At 35.5% G+C, this 16,604-nt stretch overlaps 1 protein-coding gene across 1 annotated transcript; it reads left to right on the top strand.

The window, feature by feature from the left end:
* The first annotated feature begins 13,578 nt into the window (after positions 1-13,578).
* CARD18 (caspase recruitment domain family member 18) lies at positions 13,579-15,634 on the top strand. Its single transcript, NM_021571.4, has 3 exons — positions 13,579-13,628; positions 14,270-14,536; positions 15,250-15,634. Exons 1-2 carry the CDS (start codon positions 13,622-13,624, stop codon positions 14,533-14,535), a joined length of 273 nt encoding a protein of 90 aa, NP_067546.1. The 5' UTR covers positions 13,579-13,621; the 3' UTR covers position 14,536; positions 15,250-15,634.
* The last annotated feature ends 970 nt before the right edge of the window (positions 15,635-16,604 follow it).

The raw sequence follows: 16,604 nt of genomic DNA, 5'->3' as shown, positions 1-16,604 counted from the left end.
TTATTTTGGAATGTGGTATTAAACAAGCTGATTTTGATTTAAGAAACAGAAAGTATTGGCATTTGTAAACATGTTTTTAAATGGAGCTGCATAGATTTTTAGTTTAAATCTTACAAGTGGAATGAGAAAATTAGGAGCCTTTATGCAGAAATGACGTGAGTAGGCTATGCTTTCTGAACTTCTACACTTTTCCTTGGTCCTCTGGGCTCATTGAAGGAACAGAAGGAAGCTTCATTCTCAAGACAGTCACTTTCTTAAACCACTGGTGCATGTGGCCACATTAATGCCCTAGAGCCCTATGTCAGAATAATAATTATAAAAAATAAAACTATGAAAAGAGAGAAAGAACTAAATTTGGATTTATTGGAATGTTGGGCAAAGTTTCTAGATATACGTTATTTACAACCCATGAAATTAAACTTAAGGAGGACACCGTCATCAAAGATTTAATTGTGTCACTATGTTTTACGTATCTCTATTTGAACATCTGCTTGGGTGCTCTCCGTTCTCTCTCAAAGAGTGATGGATATCATGAAACCAGATTTAGAATTTGAGTCATGCTACCCTCAGCACCACGTGATTTATCAGTGTCCACTCCCAATCCAGGATGCCACACTGCCCCTTGTTGTCATATCTCAGTCTTTGGTCTGTGACAGTTTTTCTGTATCTCCTTGATTTTTATGACCTTGACATTTTAGAAGAGGATTTTTGTAGAATGTCTCTCATCAAAGTTTGTCTGATGCTTCCTCATATTTAGATTGTGAATTTTGAGGAAAGAGAACACAAAGGAGAAGTGTGCTGAGAAAGGACTAATTACATATACTATTTGTGTTTTTCTAAAAGGGGCATTGAACTTTTCTGTCATTTATTTATTTATTCAATCGTTCCTTTACAAAGCCATGCATCACTTAATGACAGGGATATGTTTGAGAAATGTGTCATTAGGCAATTTCATTATTGTGCAAGTATTATGGAGTGCATAGCCTACTACACACCTACATTGTACAGTATCGCCTATTGCTCCTAGGCCATAAACCTGTATAGCATGTTACTGTATTGAATGCTGCAGTTAACTATAACACAATGGTAAGTGTTTGTGTATCTAAACATATAAAACGTACAGTAAAACATGGTATAAAAGATAAAAAATGGTACATCTTTACAGGGTACTTACGATAAATGAACTTTTCAGGACGGGAAGTTGCTCTGTGTGAGTCAGTGAGAGAATGAGTAATGAGTGAATGTGAAGTCCTAGGACATTACCGTAAACTACTACAAACTTTATAAACATACACTTAGACAATACCAAATTTATTAAAAAATACTTTTCTGTCTTTGTAATATATTTATCTTGGCTTACTGTATCGAGACATGCTGGTCTCGAATTCCTGGCTTCAGGTGATCCACCTGACTTGGCCTCCCAGAGTGTTGGGATTACAGGTGTGAGCCACCGCGCCTGGCCTGAAAGTTACTTCTAAAATTGTGATTAGATTCAGGCTAATTTTATTTTGCAAGACTACTTCTTAGGTGATGCTGATTACTTCATACTGTAGAATACTAGAAGGTACATAACACCTGAAATGTCTCAGCTTTAATGATACAAGAAATAATCTGTGGGTTCAGCTTGATCCTTTCTTTATAAAGGTCCTGGTCAACCTTTACTAATGATTTTACCACTCACTGATTGCCATTGTCATGATCATATCTGTCATTACAACCTGTGAGATTATAGTTTTTTTCTAATTTTTTATCCATTTATTAATTAACTAGACTTCTTAATACAAGAATTTTTCCCTTATGTACTAGCTCCTAATTTTGTTAGCCTGAAACACAATTCACATGAGAAGATCAAGATAAAGACTTAATCATTTCACTTTAATTATCAAATTCAGAAATATAATTCACATGAAAAGATCGAGATAAAGACTTAATTATTTCACTTTAATTATCAATTAATTGGTGCCCTGGCAACTTTTACTGGTTCTCAAGAGTTTTGTTTTGTTTCTCATACTCTCTAAGAAACTTAGTTCATACTCACTGCTTTTAATATACCCTATGTGTTTTAATAATCATTTAAAGACATTCTTTCTGAAGTTAAAATTTCCCCATCTTGCTCAGTGGAAGTCCTTCACTTTGGCTCTTTTGCCTCTATAGCATGACCCATGAGAGCTTCCTTGCTTTCTGGTTCAAGAAAACATTCTACCTTTATGTCATAAATTTTCTGACCCCTGCCTTGGATCAGCTACTTCTCCAAGAAGCCCTTACCTTCTTTAGTGGTAAATAGTTTTTAGAAATTATATTGGAAACTAGAGGTGATTATTGCTACTAGACTGTTATAACTCTAGGCCTTTTTCACAAAGATAGGAAATATATATTTTGTTAAAACTGGAGGTATTATGAATTTGCAATTGTATTTTCGCATCGTATTTAAGATTCCAACACTATTACTTACTATATTTGAATTTATGTAGGCAGTTCTTTTCTTCCATGCTGAAAATAATGATGACAATAATCATAACATAATTACATACTTTTAAACTTATAATCCACTCTAAAATGGGCTCAAAGTCACCTTATTCTATCACATATTGCAATTTCCTTATGTCTTCATTTTTCAGATTTGAAAATTGTATATTCTGTAGTTTGCCAAAAATTATTTAAAATTGACATCCAAAAATAAAAGAAAATGTTCTAGATATGATTTAGGTAGTCCCAGAATTAGTGAAATGGTGTTTTCCCTTTAATTGTTTTATAGAATACATAGCATCACCAACTCAGTGAGAACTTTCTTATGGAAATTCTGCTGCCCCAAGTGCCTTGTTTCTCAACATTACCTCCATGGTAGGCAGAATAATGGACTCTCAGACCTGTCCATGTCCTAATTACCTGCACCTGTGAATACATTACCTTACATGGCAAAAGAAACTGCAGATATGATGAAATCTCTTGAGATAGAGAGAATACCCTGCATCATCCAGATGCACTGAATTTAATCCCAACAGTCTTTATAAGGGAAGGATGGCAGCAAAAGAGTAAAGAAGAAGATGTGAAAACAGAAGCATAGATCAGGATGACACAGAGCCATGAGCTAAAAAATTTGGGTAGCCTCTAAAAACCAGGAAATGTAAGAGAAAGAATTGTCCCCTAGAGCCTCCAGAAGTAACACAGCCCTGCCAACACCTTCATATGAGCCCAGTGAAACCCATTTCAGACTCTGACTTCCAAAACTATAAGCTAATAAATTTGTGTTGTGTCAAGTCACTACATTTGTGATAATGTGTTATAAAAGCAGTAGTAAATTAACCCACCTGTCCACATATGTGTTCTTCATGGTATGCATTATGACTTGCAAGTATTTTATTTATTGGTCTGTGGACTTATTAAGTCCCTCTTCTCTACTGGAATGTAAGCTTTATGAAGTCAAGACTCTATGTTCTTATTGACTTATACTATTCTCACTGAGTATAATATGTAATTAGTAGTGTCAAAATAAATATTTTTGAGTGAATTAAGATGTATACAATCTAAAATTGTTCTGGTCCACATTAAACTTATGAAAGAATGAAATAACCTGAGGCTTTTGTTCTCTGAAATAAGCTATTGCCAGACCTGTTCATCTAGTAGAGGAGCAATGGATTACATGCATTACCTCCCAGCCATGCAGACTTTAATTTTGTAACTTCAATTGTGGTTTAATTACTAACTCACATGGCCACATTCTCTATTAGTCAGCAAAAGTCCTTATGGACAAGGTTAATACTGTATTTTTGTTTTACTAATAAATCCTTATATTCTAATTCAGTTACCTGATATTTATTAGATACTCAATAAATAAGTATTTAATGGATGAAAATAAATGAAGAAATGTGTTATGATTAACTCAGTAATTCATATTCTTTGACATTTATCTCCATTTAATTTCACATTTTAAACTGATTGTCCTATATTATCAAATATTTTTCTAAATTAATTTTCATTTATACATTTGCTGTATTTGATATATATTCTTCCTTTCACTCTAAATCATTTATATTTTACAATATATACTGATGACATTTGTTTAATGTGATGTGACCATTGTTTTAGGTGATGTGGGTATTGAAGCAAAGAAGATGGACAAGTTGTTATTTCTAGAAGCCCATTTTGTAGAACTAGATAGATAACAAATAAATAAATGAAAGAAAGTATCAGTTAGTGATAAGTGCCTTGTAAAGAAACCAATTTATCTAGATAATTTTGTTTTTATGGTTTGCATTCCGATTTCTGTGCTTTCAATTTTTATGCCATTCTATAGGCATGAAATGTCTTTCCGTCTCTTGTATTTGCACATGAAATAGCTTGGGTTTTGCAATTGGAAGAGTGAACTTAAGTTTGATATCCACTGGAGATTAACAATGTGACCTCATGCAGGAGTTTTAATGTGGGTGAGGCCAGTTTGCCATCTGTAAAATGGGAATATAGCACTAACATCTTCTTCACTGTGGTGCTGAGTGAACAATGCCCATTGTACATAAAGCACTCACCACAATGCCTGGCACACAGTAGGCTCTCCTTAAATATAGTCCCCTTTGTTCTTCATTTGTGTGTTCAAAACCCTGTCATTCTTTAAATCCCTGAGCACTTTTAAATCCATGTTTTTCTAAAGTCCATTTATAGCACTCTTAGCTTGTCTTGCCCTTTAGAGGATTTTCGACTTCTCTTTTGTTGTCATATATTTTCCCCTGTGTTTATGCTTTTGTCCTTCAGTCTACACTTAGCGTTTTGAAAGCAGACCTCCCTCTCCCGTCAATATTACCTTTCTTGTCTTCTCAGAAGACTTGGCGCAATGCTCACAAGAAAGATGGCTTGTGATACTAGAGAGAGCTGGCCTAGGGATGAGAAAAACTGGACTCTCATTCTGATTCATCTCATCTCTTGGCAAGTATGCAGGCTCATTATTCATGAGGTGAAGAAGCTATTACTTGCCTTTGCTATCTAGCTCACTTGTGAGGGTGCAGTATAAAAAATACAAAAGGAAACATGTGGCACAGAACCTGTTTTCAGGGCTGTATAAGATAATAACACTAAGCTAACGCTAACGATCAATAGACTGTATCAAGCTCTAGTAAGAGTTTAATTTGCCGGACACCTGTCATCTTTTCTACAACCAGGTTCTGAGAGACGGTCTGGAATAATGATGAAGAACCAGATTCTGCAGCTGGGCCACCTGGATTTGAATTCTGGCTCTGCCACTTCCTTGCTTTGTGACATTGGGAAGGTGTTCAAGCTCTGTGCTTCATTTTTCTTATCTGTAAAATGAGATTAATAATATTATCCACATCATACAAGTATCATATGTATTAAATGGGTAAAAAATTGAAATATATATATACATAGCACTATATATAAAAGACCAATTCCCCAAATCATCTTATTTAAGGTAATATAATTTTTAAAAGGAGATAGTATAGTAGAGAGTAGAGTATTTCAAGTGGTGTTCAAGGCCTGGGCAGAGCAGACAGAATTTCTAAAATGCTCAAGCAAAACCTTATTCTTATTTAATATATTATTTATTTAATTATTTTGTCTAGACATGTAGACATATTTAATATTTAGCCCCAATGTGCCTTAGCAAATGTAGTCTCTGTCCATGACTGCTATGGGAAATGGACCAGTCAATGTTAACTGAGGTAAAGCATCCTCAGTGTTACCTACTGGCTGGTCTGTTATCAGAAAAGGGCATCTGTAGGAAGGTATAGAAGAATCTTCAGCACAAATGTGGGTTCAGTTGCTACTGTATCACTTTGCAGCTGTTCTGCCTTGAGTAAATTTTGAAGATCAAATAAAATAATATTTTCTAGGAAACATGACATAGTATCAAATATAAAATAATAGTTTTGCCTTCTGAATTACAGAACTATGATTCTAGAGCCCTATTCCTTCACCCGTGATGCTACAACCTTTGCATGTGTCTTTTATAATAATCTAAGCCCATCATGTTACTCTTTTTATATGGACAAAGAAATTTGAGCCTTTATTTTTCCTACTTGATTTAATTTGTTATTTACAATCTTCGACTTTTTTTTAAAAAAAGGATAAAGCATTTATTATTTTCTTTATTTAGGATTTATTATTTCCTTTATTCAAAAATAACATTTTCTGGAGAAGTGCACATGGATCGCTCTTCATCACACAACTCATAAAGTAACTCCAAATATATTCTTGTTGTTGTTACCTTGTGGAAATATTTGTAAGACCCATATTATATGTTACATTCATTTATTTATTCATACAAGCCAAAACAAATGTATATGATAAGCCACCTACATATTTTACACAAATGATACACAAACATATTTTATGTAAATTATTCACATTGTGCTATGTTTTGCTTTTTAATTATACCCAAACACTAAGTTCTGATAGCAAAGAAAGTCAATACATGCTGAATATATGTATTGAAATATTAAAAATCTGAGAGATAAAAGAGATACAAATATTTTTTCCTCATAGAGAAAAAAATAAACTGTGAAGATAACCTGTGATGTGGAATAATAGTCGATTATATATTTAGATTGTGGAAAACATTTGGTGTAAAAATTTTTTGATAAATATTTACTGAGTTCCTGTATAAACAAGAACTGAAACGTTCTGATCCAGATAATGTAGTAAAAATGAACAGACACAGTCCTGGCTTTTTTTATTTTATTTGGTTTTTTTTGGAGACAGAGTCTTGCTCTGTCGTCCAGGCTGGAGTGCCGTGGTGCGATCTCAGCTCACTGCAAGCTCTGCCTCCCAAGTTCAAGCAATTCTCCTGCCTCAGCCTCCTGAGTAGCTGGGACTACAGGTGCACACTGCCACGCCGGGCTGATTTTTTGTATTTTAGTAGAGACGGGGTTTCACCGTGTTGTCCAGGCTGGTCACGAACTCCTGAGCTCAGACAATCCACCCACCTTGGCCTCCCAAAGTGCTAGGATTACAGGCATGAGCCACTGTGCCCGGCCAGTCCCTGCTTTTATAACTAAAATTCCAGCAGCAATTATAGATGGTACAAAGTGCAGTACTCAAAAATAGGTTATCTCCAAATTCTAGGGAAAAGAATAACAGGGTTCTGTAAAACAGAACACAGAAGAAATTCTATGTTAGATGTGTTTGTTCATAAAGTCAAAGTTTGATGAAATAGGGTAAATTGTGTCTATTTTTGATTGGCGTAAAAACAGAAATATTTACTGGCCAATGGAAGAGATAAGGAAGGAAGTGGCAAGTGAGTGAAAGAAGAATCTGAAATAAGGTTTTATGGAACAAAACCTTGAGACTGAAATTTCAGAGGACTGAGAGGAAGAGGTCTTTATGAGAATGGAAAGAAGGAATGTCTCTAAAGTTAGGCTGTAGTACATGAAACCCGAGGTGAAAATTTATAGTTAAAATTAAGGACGTGAGACGTCTACTTTCTGTCAACATGGCTTAATAGAGACTGGATTTACACTCTTGTCTAAAACAAACAAAAACAGACAAAATATATGAAGCAGCAGCTTCCAATTTGCTTAACAATGAGGAATACTGATCCCTGGAAAATAAACATGAGTGAGCCCTGTAATTATCTTGAGGGGGATTACAGGGCACAGCACAGAGACGCAGAAGCAAGGTAGAACCTGGTAGACTCAGAGTTGAGGAGAAACTTACACCCACAGTACATACCGTATGATCCCATTTATATGAAAATAAAGAACAAGCAAAGCTAATCCCTGGTGATAGTTAGTAATCACATCAGTGGTTTCCTTGACCTTAGGTTTTCTATAACTGACTGAAATTGGACTTATTAAGATAACGTAAATATTCTATAAGTAGACTTTGGCAATGTGCACGTTTAGCAAAGCACTTTGAACTTTACACAAAAAATGGGTTTACATAAGCGCATGTAAATTATATCACAATAAAGTGAATTAGAGATAAAAAAAGGTAAGCAAATCAAAGTATAGTTTCTATAATGCAAGAGGTAAGGATTTAAATACTGTTGGTATAGCAACTTTCAAGAAGCTATTAATTTACATGTACTAACCCAAGAAAGCACATGAGCAGGTTATTCATCATTACAGATGACTGTCATTTAGAAAATAGTATTAACTATGGTGAAACCAGTTATTTGAGTGACTTATATGCATCTACTTTAACTTGGATCGATCTGTTATTAGCATGAGGTACACGAGGGTTTAGCCTACACTTAAATTGACAGTACTCTTATTGTACCACATTCAAACACTGAGCAATGCAACTCATAGGCAATGACATTTCATGCATAGGAATTTAGATGAGTCACTCTTTCAAGTACTTAAGCTAACAAATTAAATTTTCTCTGCTCAAAATCCTTCCAAATATGCATAAGAAGTTTAGAGTCAGAAATTCACTCTATTTACACCAGTAGTATTTATTATCTTGTGCCATAGATATATTTTAGTTTGCTTACATGTAACCACATGTTTCAAAATTTTATTCTAAAATAAACTTTAACTATTACATTAACTAGTAATCCAGCTAAATTCTTTCCCCTCATATCTACACCACCAATCATCTAAACATAGGATTTTTATTTTTAATTTTTTTATTTTTACTTTTATATACTTAGGGGTACAACTGATATTTCTTACATGAATATACTGCAATGTGGTGAAGTTGGGGTTTTAGTGCACCCAGCACCTGAATAGTGAAATTGTATCCAATAAGTATTTTTTTTCAAACCTCATCCATTCTGTCACCTTTTGGAGTCTCCACTGTCTATTACACCACTCTGTATGTCGATGGTACCCATTGTTTAGGTCCCATTTATAAGTGAGAACACATGGTATTTGACTTCCTGTGTCTGAGTTACTTCACTGAAGATAATAAGATAATGACCGTCGATGTTACTGCAAAGAACTGGACTTTATGCTTTTTTATGGTTGTATAGCATTTAGTATTCATATATATATATATATATATATATATATATATATATATATCACTTTTTTATTCAATCAACTGTTGGTGGGTACTTAGGTTGCTATTGTAAGTAGTGCAGGGATAAACATATATGTGCAAGTGTCTTTTTAATATAATGATTTCATTTCTTTTGAGTAGATACCGAGTAGTGAAATTGCTGGGTGAAATGGTCATTCTATTTTTAGTTCTTTGGGATATCTATAGAGTTCTATTTTCAGTTATTTGAGTTTTCTATAGAGGTTGGGAGCTAAACAATGGGGACACTTGGATATAAAGATGGAGAAAATAGATTCTGGGGATTCTAAAATAGGAAAGGGTGGGAGGGTTGAAAAATTACCTGTTAGGTACAATGTTTACTATTAGGGTGATACATTAGAAGCTCAATCTCCACCATTACCCATGTAATACTCATGTAACAAACAAGCACATACACCCCCTGAATCTAAAATAAATAAATAAAAAGGCTTTATGTCCTTTCCTTCATTCCCATGATTTGCTCCTCTTAATTTTGTTCCTATTATTCTCAGTGTCTGAATTGTCCAGGTCTCTCAGCTCTACTTTGTACAGATACACCGTTGTGGTCTTTCAACTTAAGTAATCAAATCACATTTTTCACACCCCTTGACTTCATTATCTTGAGTAAGAGGTTCATTTTCTGGAAGTGTCAATTTCCTCATCTGCAAAGCTAGGATGCAAATGCTGTTTTTCTAGTGTTGTCTGGCTGGTTAAACAGCCTACTATATTACCTAGAAGAGGGCAAGCTATCAGCAAATTAGCAACCTCTTTCAGTGCTTATTTAAACGTTTTTATCCTGCAGATTCTGGGAAGATTTTATGTTACCTATGTAAAATCTTCCTGATTGCTTCAGATTATATTTAATTCTCCCATCTCTGATACCTCATAGCATCTTAGTCCATTTTCTCCTGTATTGTCATACAATATTTTCCTGTGTTTATGCCTTATCAGTGCCAAATTATTTTAAATTCCTCAAGGGCAGGCACTGAGTCCTATTTTACCAGCTGATTTTCTTCATGTAATCAACCACAGTGCTAGGATGAGGAACATGTAGCATATCACACAGAGCCTAGGATTGAGTGAGAGGCCCCTTGTGCCAGGTGCATCTCTGAACCTCTGGTAATTAGTATTTTTCATAAAATGGACATATATTTCATCTTGTCTACTATAGAGAAATCTGTAAGCATTTTATAAAGAAATATAAGGTACCAGGGTACCTTCTTCCTTCAAGACTATTGCTAATTTAAGAGCAGCCTCTTTTAGATATGGCCAGGCAATGATTTTATATACATTATCTTAAATAGTCATAATAAATCTAGGAATAGTAATGATATAGATGCGGGAAGTGTCTGAATGGGGAAACTGAGGCTTAGATAGTTTTAACTAAGTCATTCATCATCTCATGCAACTAACAAAGTACACTTGAATGGGTGATTTGACTCCAAATCTGGGAAGAGGGGAAGGCTTCTGAAAAAAAAAATCTTACATTTGATTTGTGCTCCCACTAATGTATAGTCACTAGATATGTTCCAGAATGTTTATACCCAAGAACAGAGGAATGAAAGATGGAACATTGAGTATCTTCAAAGAGTTATAAATGACATAAGTAAAGGTGGCAACTAGATAACTTATGCTTTCATGTCATAACTGCTCCCTACTCCCACAAAAGTAACAAATACTCTTTTCCTAATGACAAATCTGAATTGCTAGTGCAAATAAAATTCCAGAAATCTGAAACGAGCCTAGATCTAAATTTTCAAGTCATCACTCATCCTTTAAAACACTACCTGTTGCTTATCATGTAATTTATTTATTTTATGATAATTATATCTCAATTCAAATTATATTCTGGAGTAAGTGCCTTTACAAATAGGGTAGTAGATAATTCCACTTTTAGTTATTATGAGGTCTCTATTCTCTTCTTGTAGTCTTACCAGGCTTACACATACTTGAGTGTTTTCCAGAAAAACAGGAAAAGGAAATCCTGCCTTTTCCATTCAAACATTATAATCATGGGCACTTTCATTTTGAAGTCAGCAATAGAGTGGCATATCTAAGAGTTCTCTGCTTAGCTTTGAGAGATCTGGGAAGCATATGTGAGTTTGGGAATCCTCGTGCTTACAGTTTTGCTTTCTAGAGGTATCAGTTGGCCACCAGCTATTGTCAGGCACCATCTCCTGTACTTCCATAGAATGGTGTGCTTTCCTGGCTGGTGGAGAACCAGGATAATATTCTTCTCTCTGTGATTTCCACAGTGATGTTCCATTCTTTCTGTGATTTGTCTTCTTCTTGTTCCAGATCCCAGTTTCATTCAGACCATCTCTAATTTCTATCCTGCCATAAATATTCCCTAAAGCAAGAGGACACAGAGCCTGCTATAAGCTAGATTGGAAAAGTAGGGAGAAAAAGAAAAAAAAGTCAAAGAAGTCAAAGATTAAAATCTCCACAATGTTTGACTATATACTACCAAGATAGAAATGTCTATTCCCAAGAAAATAAATGCAATTATTTGCCAAGAAAGCAGAAAGCAAATTGGCAGACTTCAGGTAAAATGTGAACCACAGGCAAGCTTTGTTTAATTTTCACAGTGTTTTAAAACAATAGTAAACCAACTGAAAGTATTTTTAAAATTAGAGATAAAGTACCCTTAAAATGAAAAAGTAAACTGAATTTTCATTCTCTTAGCCAAAATTAGTTGGGTCTGAGGAGCCCTGCCCCTTCAGAGAGGACTACCCTTACCAGATAGGCACAGCCTCCCCTCTCCAATTCACCTCATTTGGTGTATTCCTGGGCCCATGGGCACATAAGCTGTAGCACCTTGCCCAGATTTTAAATATTTATCAAATTATGTCACATATATAAGCTAATACAAATATTTTACCAAAGATGTGATTCCCCCAATCTTCTGAGAATATTTTTCTTTAAAGAACTCTTAAAATATTTTGTATACATTTAATGAGTATATGTGTCTCTCCTACTATCATACAACTTCTAATAGGGTAGGAATTTTTGTCTGTTTTTGGTCATTACTACATCCCCAGCATCTATAATAATGTATGGCACATAGACTTGGGTCTCAGTAAATAACTATGCTGAATATTTATGTTGAATGAATTGATGAGATGAATAGGGGATTTTACATGGACATATATAATAATTGAGGTGCTTCCTTTATGCCAGGGGCTATTTTAATGACTTATATTTGTTCATTAAATACTTGCAATAAAACTGCAAGGTAGGAATTATCATCAAACCTATCTGGCAGATGGGAAGACTAAAGCTTGGTTAATTTCCTTTCCTAAGATCAGCAGTTAAAATATGGATCCAACCATTCTGGCTTCAGAGTCTGTGCCCTTAATCTTTGTAATACAGTGTTACTTAAAATGGTGCCATCTGAAGAAAAAGAGCCTTACGTAACAAAGCACTTTTATTCCAAATAGCAAAACTGCTTCATACACCATTTCTGCGTCTGGAGACTGCCTAGAGCTTAGGTAAAAAACAATGAAAGGAAGGTAAGAAGTCTTAGTCCATCTCACACCCATTAGGATGGCTATTATCAAAAGAACAGAAAAATAATATGTATTGGTGAGGACATGGAAAAACTGGAACGCTTCTGCTTTATATGTGGGAATGTAATACAGTGCAGCTGCTATGGAAAACAGCATACCGATTTCACAAAACAAAATGAAATAGAATTACTCTATGATTTGTCAGTTCCACTTCTGGGTATATATTCAAATAATTGACAGCAGAATCTCAAAAACATATTTGTATACCATGTTCATAGCAGTGTTATTTACAATAGCAAAAGGGAAGAAATTTGTGCTCAATGAAGAATGGGTAAACTAAAATGTGGTACATACATAGAATGGAGTATTATTCAACTTCAGAAAGAAAGGAAATTGTGACCCATGCCACAACATGAATAAACACCGAGGACATTACACTAAGTGAAATAAGTCAGGCATCAAAAAATGAATACTGTATAATTCTACTTACATGAGATACCTAGAGAAGTCAAATTCATAAAGACAGAAAGTACAATGTTAGTTGCCAGGGACTGATGGAAGGAAAGGATAGAGAGTTACTGTTTAAGGAGTATAGAGTTTCAATTTCCCAAAATGAAAACAACTACAGTTGGATGATATTGATGGCTACACAGCAATGTGAATGTACTTAATGCCACTGAACTGGATACTGTAAAATGGCTAAGATGGTAAATTTTATATTATGTGTATTTTACCACAATTTAAAAAAGGAACTCTTAGTACTTGATTTAGGTGGCACAACTACCCTATACTGTGATTTTACTTTCCATTTAAATCTCAGTGAATTAAAGATTGTTTACTGCATGTGTTTAGCTCTGTGTGTGCCTTCTCAATTCTCTCCTATTCTTGTTTCTCACCCACCAAGGAATGGTAAAGCAATTTTCTTATGGGCACAGTTCATGCTACAATCTGAGATTCAATTGTGTAAAAATACCTTGGGAAATGACAATAGTTAACAGCTTCTTGGGCAATAATTATAAATACACATGTGTAGGTGTAAGTATTGTTCATTGATCTGTGTACACGCCCTGCCTAAAAGGATAGAGCTACCTTGCCTGTCATTGCAAGTGTAACACACATTGCAAGTGCCAACGTGAGGAGCCATGGCTGGTGAGTCTTCCCCAGTAAGAGGATAGGTCTTAGGGAGGAATTAGTTTGGGAAAGGACTGCCTTTCTCATTAGGCTTTGTGAAGGTTTGTGTGGGCAGCCTTGGGGTGGAGAGAGAAAGAAGAAGGGAGAGGCAGGGTGGGAAGATGCCCAGACTTGCACAGCGTTTTTGAAGGAACAGATAAAGGCCAGGAAGAATCTGGGATCCTACTGGTATCTGCTATAATTTTGCTAGTGTTGTCCACATTTGAAGAGTTATGTAGTTCAGGATGAGAATGGGCACAGGATGGGTATCAGTAGCTGTTGTTCTCAAAGGAAACAGTCAATTCCCTTCAAAATTCATGAAACTGTCAATTCCCTTCAAAATTCAAGAAACTGGGATGTGTCAGAATAGAATGACTTCTGATTTTTAGGAGATTCACAGAAAAATCATGAAGTCAAGTTTCCCAGGTCACTCAGTGAGCATATGTAGGTAATGCTAGAATCAGAAGGAAGTACGTGGAGTAAATGCAAAGGTATAAGACCGTTCCTTGGGATTACTGTACTTGTGGAGAGAAATGTTTAAATGATTGTTACCCTGTTGGTAAATTGAGAGGGAAATTGTGTCATGTTCATTATTTGAGGAATCTTTGTGCTTCCAACAGACCAACTCTTGCGTAAAAAGAGAAGAATTTTTATCCATTCAGTGGGTGCAGGCACAATAAATGCCTTGCTGGATTGCCTATTAGAGGATGAAGTTATTAGCCAGGAAGACATGAACAAAGTGAGAGATGAAAATGACACTGTCATGGATAAGGCTCGAGTCTTGATTGACCTTGTTACTGGAAAAGGACCCAAGTCTTGCTGCAAATTTATCAAGCATCTCTGTGAAGAAGACCCTCAACTTGCCTCAAAGATGGGTTTGCACTAAGGTAAGGTGGAATGATTCAACCTAATGTCCAAATAGGCCCTGTATCTTGAATTCAGTTATGATTTTCTTCACTTGTCTTGTCAGTTGATAATAGGGTTCCTATCATTTTAGCCTCAGACTCCATTCCTTTATGCATGGCTCTAGCTTATGTCTCTTCTGTCTACGTTTTTGTGTCCCTTGTACCTGTTCTCTCAGTACTCCCTGCTGACCACAGCTCATCTCTAATTCTATGTAGGTGGTAGATCATTACTGTAGTTCATTTAAAGAGCCTAGATGTTTTATCCTGAATCTTTTAATGGTCCTGGGGAGCAATGTACAATATCACTCCCTCTTGAGCCTAAGAAGCCCATGTATTTATTAGAAGAGAAGGTATAAGCTCTTTTTGTACCTACCACCCTGCTCTTACCCCATCTCCCTATTAAGTACTTTTCAGAATATACAATGATGATGGAATTGTCAAAGAATAAATTGAGTGTGTATATAAAATTAAATATGCACTAAATAATTATATTTGCATGAAATTATATATGGATTCTCGTTGGAAGTCATCTCCTTTGCCTTTTCTTTTGTGTAATATGGTCTACTTGCATGGGGCTAGTCTACAGACCATTCTCTGTAGCCTATCCCTTTGTATTTCTAGGCCTCCTAAGAGCCCTGATGCAGGCTCTTGTATCTGAGCTGGCCCATTCCAATACCACTTTTCTCCCTCCACAGAGAGAAGATGGAACTCTGGAGCACTTCAGAGACTTCCCAGAGCTTCTTCCAAGGGAGAAGATATTCTCGTGAAAGAAAAAAACAAAACAAAACAACAGTGCTTTTTTCAAACCTGATTAATTTCATCAATTTCCAATAAATCTTTCATTCTCTCATATTACTTTCTTCTTATTCTTTCTCTCCTCATACCAACAGAGGATAATTCATCAATAATAATGAAGGTCATGATGATTGTAATGTAATTAAGAAAGTCCCTCCCTTTCCCTTCCTTTCTGTTTAGTTCCTTTGCAATCCTGTAGAGACATGTACAGCTTACTTTGGTGCTTTTAGCACTGAGAGTCTGCTGTGATGGGAATAAAATGAAGTCCCAGCTCAGAATTTTAAATAGCGTTGCTTCTTTGTAATGTTCTCATCTAGTTGTTCAGACCCAGGTCTATGACAATTACTCAACAAAATAAACACAACTTCCTTTCTGGGAAAATAATAGAGAAAAATCCATGGCAGATACTCCATTGCCAGACATCAGGCTTCCACAAAAAAACTGTTCATAAAAGCACTGATAGCATTTCAAGTCCACATGGGCAGGGTGAAACAAGATATGACTTAATGTCTGAGGAATGGAGATTTGTGGAGTCAAGATAGTGTGATGGCATGTCATCGCTTTGCACCCTTCAGAGCAAAACACTGGCTATTAATTATGCTTAAGCTGTCTTTTCCCTGTGTATATAGTGTTAAATAATGAAGCATTGTCTTCTAGATGCCTCAGGATGTCTTCTAATTTGTTAGCTCATGTCAATTTCTAAAATTTCTGGCATAGGTGCTAACAAAGCATTGGGTGCCAGGAACAAAGGCCAAAAGAATTTCCTGAATTTTTTAGGTTTGTGCACTTTTTCCAAGCTCTTTAGCAAACTAAAATAAAACTTAATGTGATTCCTCTCCTTTCTGAATTTGTCAGCCATAAATTACGGAGAAAATAATTATTATAGGTTGACACCAAATACAGTAAATGGGAATGTTTGTTACTTTCTTCTACAGAAGAGGTATATGCCACTGACCGGAAGTGTTTATTTGAGATAAGTGATTAAGGTTAGGGCTATTCTCATTTGCAATCAGCTGGTTTATTTGAGAAAACACATTTTGAGGGTGATATTGTTTGTCTCTGTGTCCCCACCCAAATCTCATCTTGTAGCTCCCATAATTACCACGTGTTGTGGCAGGGACCCTGCGGGAGATAACTGAATCACGGGGACAGGTCTTTCCTATGCTGCTCTTGTAACAGTGAATAAGTCTCATGAAATCTGATGGTTTTAAAAATGGGAGTTTCCCTACACAAGCTCTCTCTCTTTGCCTGTTGC

The sequence above is a fragment of the Homo sapiens genome, chromosome 11, assembly GCF_000001405.40.
Source record: "Homo sapiens chromosome 11, GRCh38.p14 Primary Assembly".
Lineage (NCBI taxonomy): Eukaryota > Metazoa > Chordata > Mammalia > Primates > Hominidae > Homo > Homo sapiens.
The sequence above is the reverse complement of the archived record's forward strand: the minus strand, read 5'-3'. Positions and strand labels throughout refer to the sequence as shown.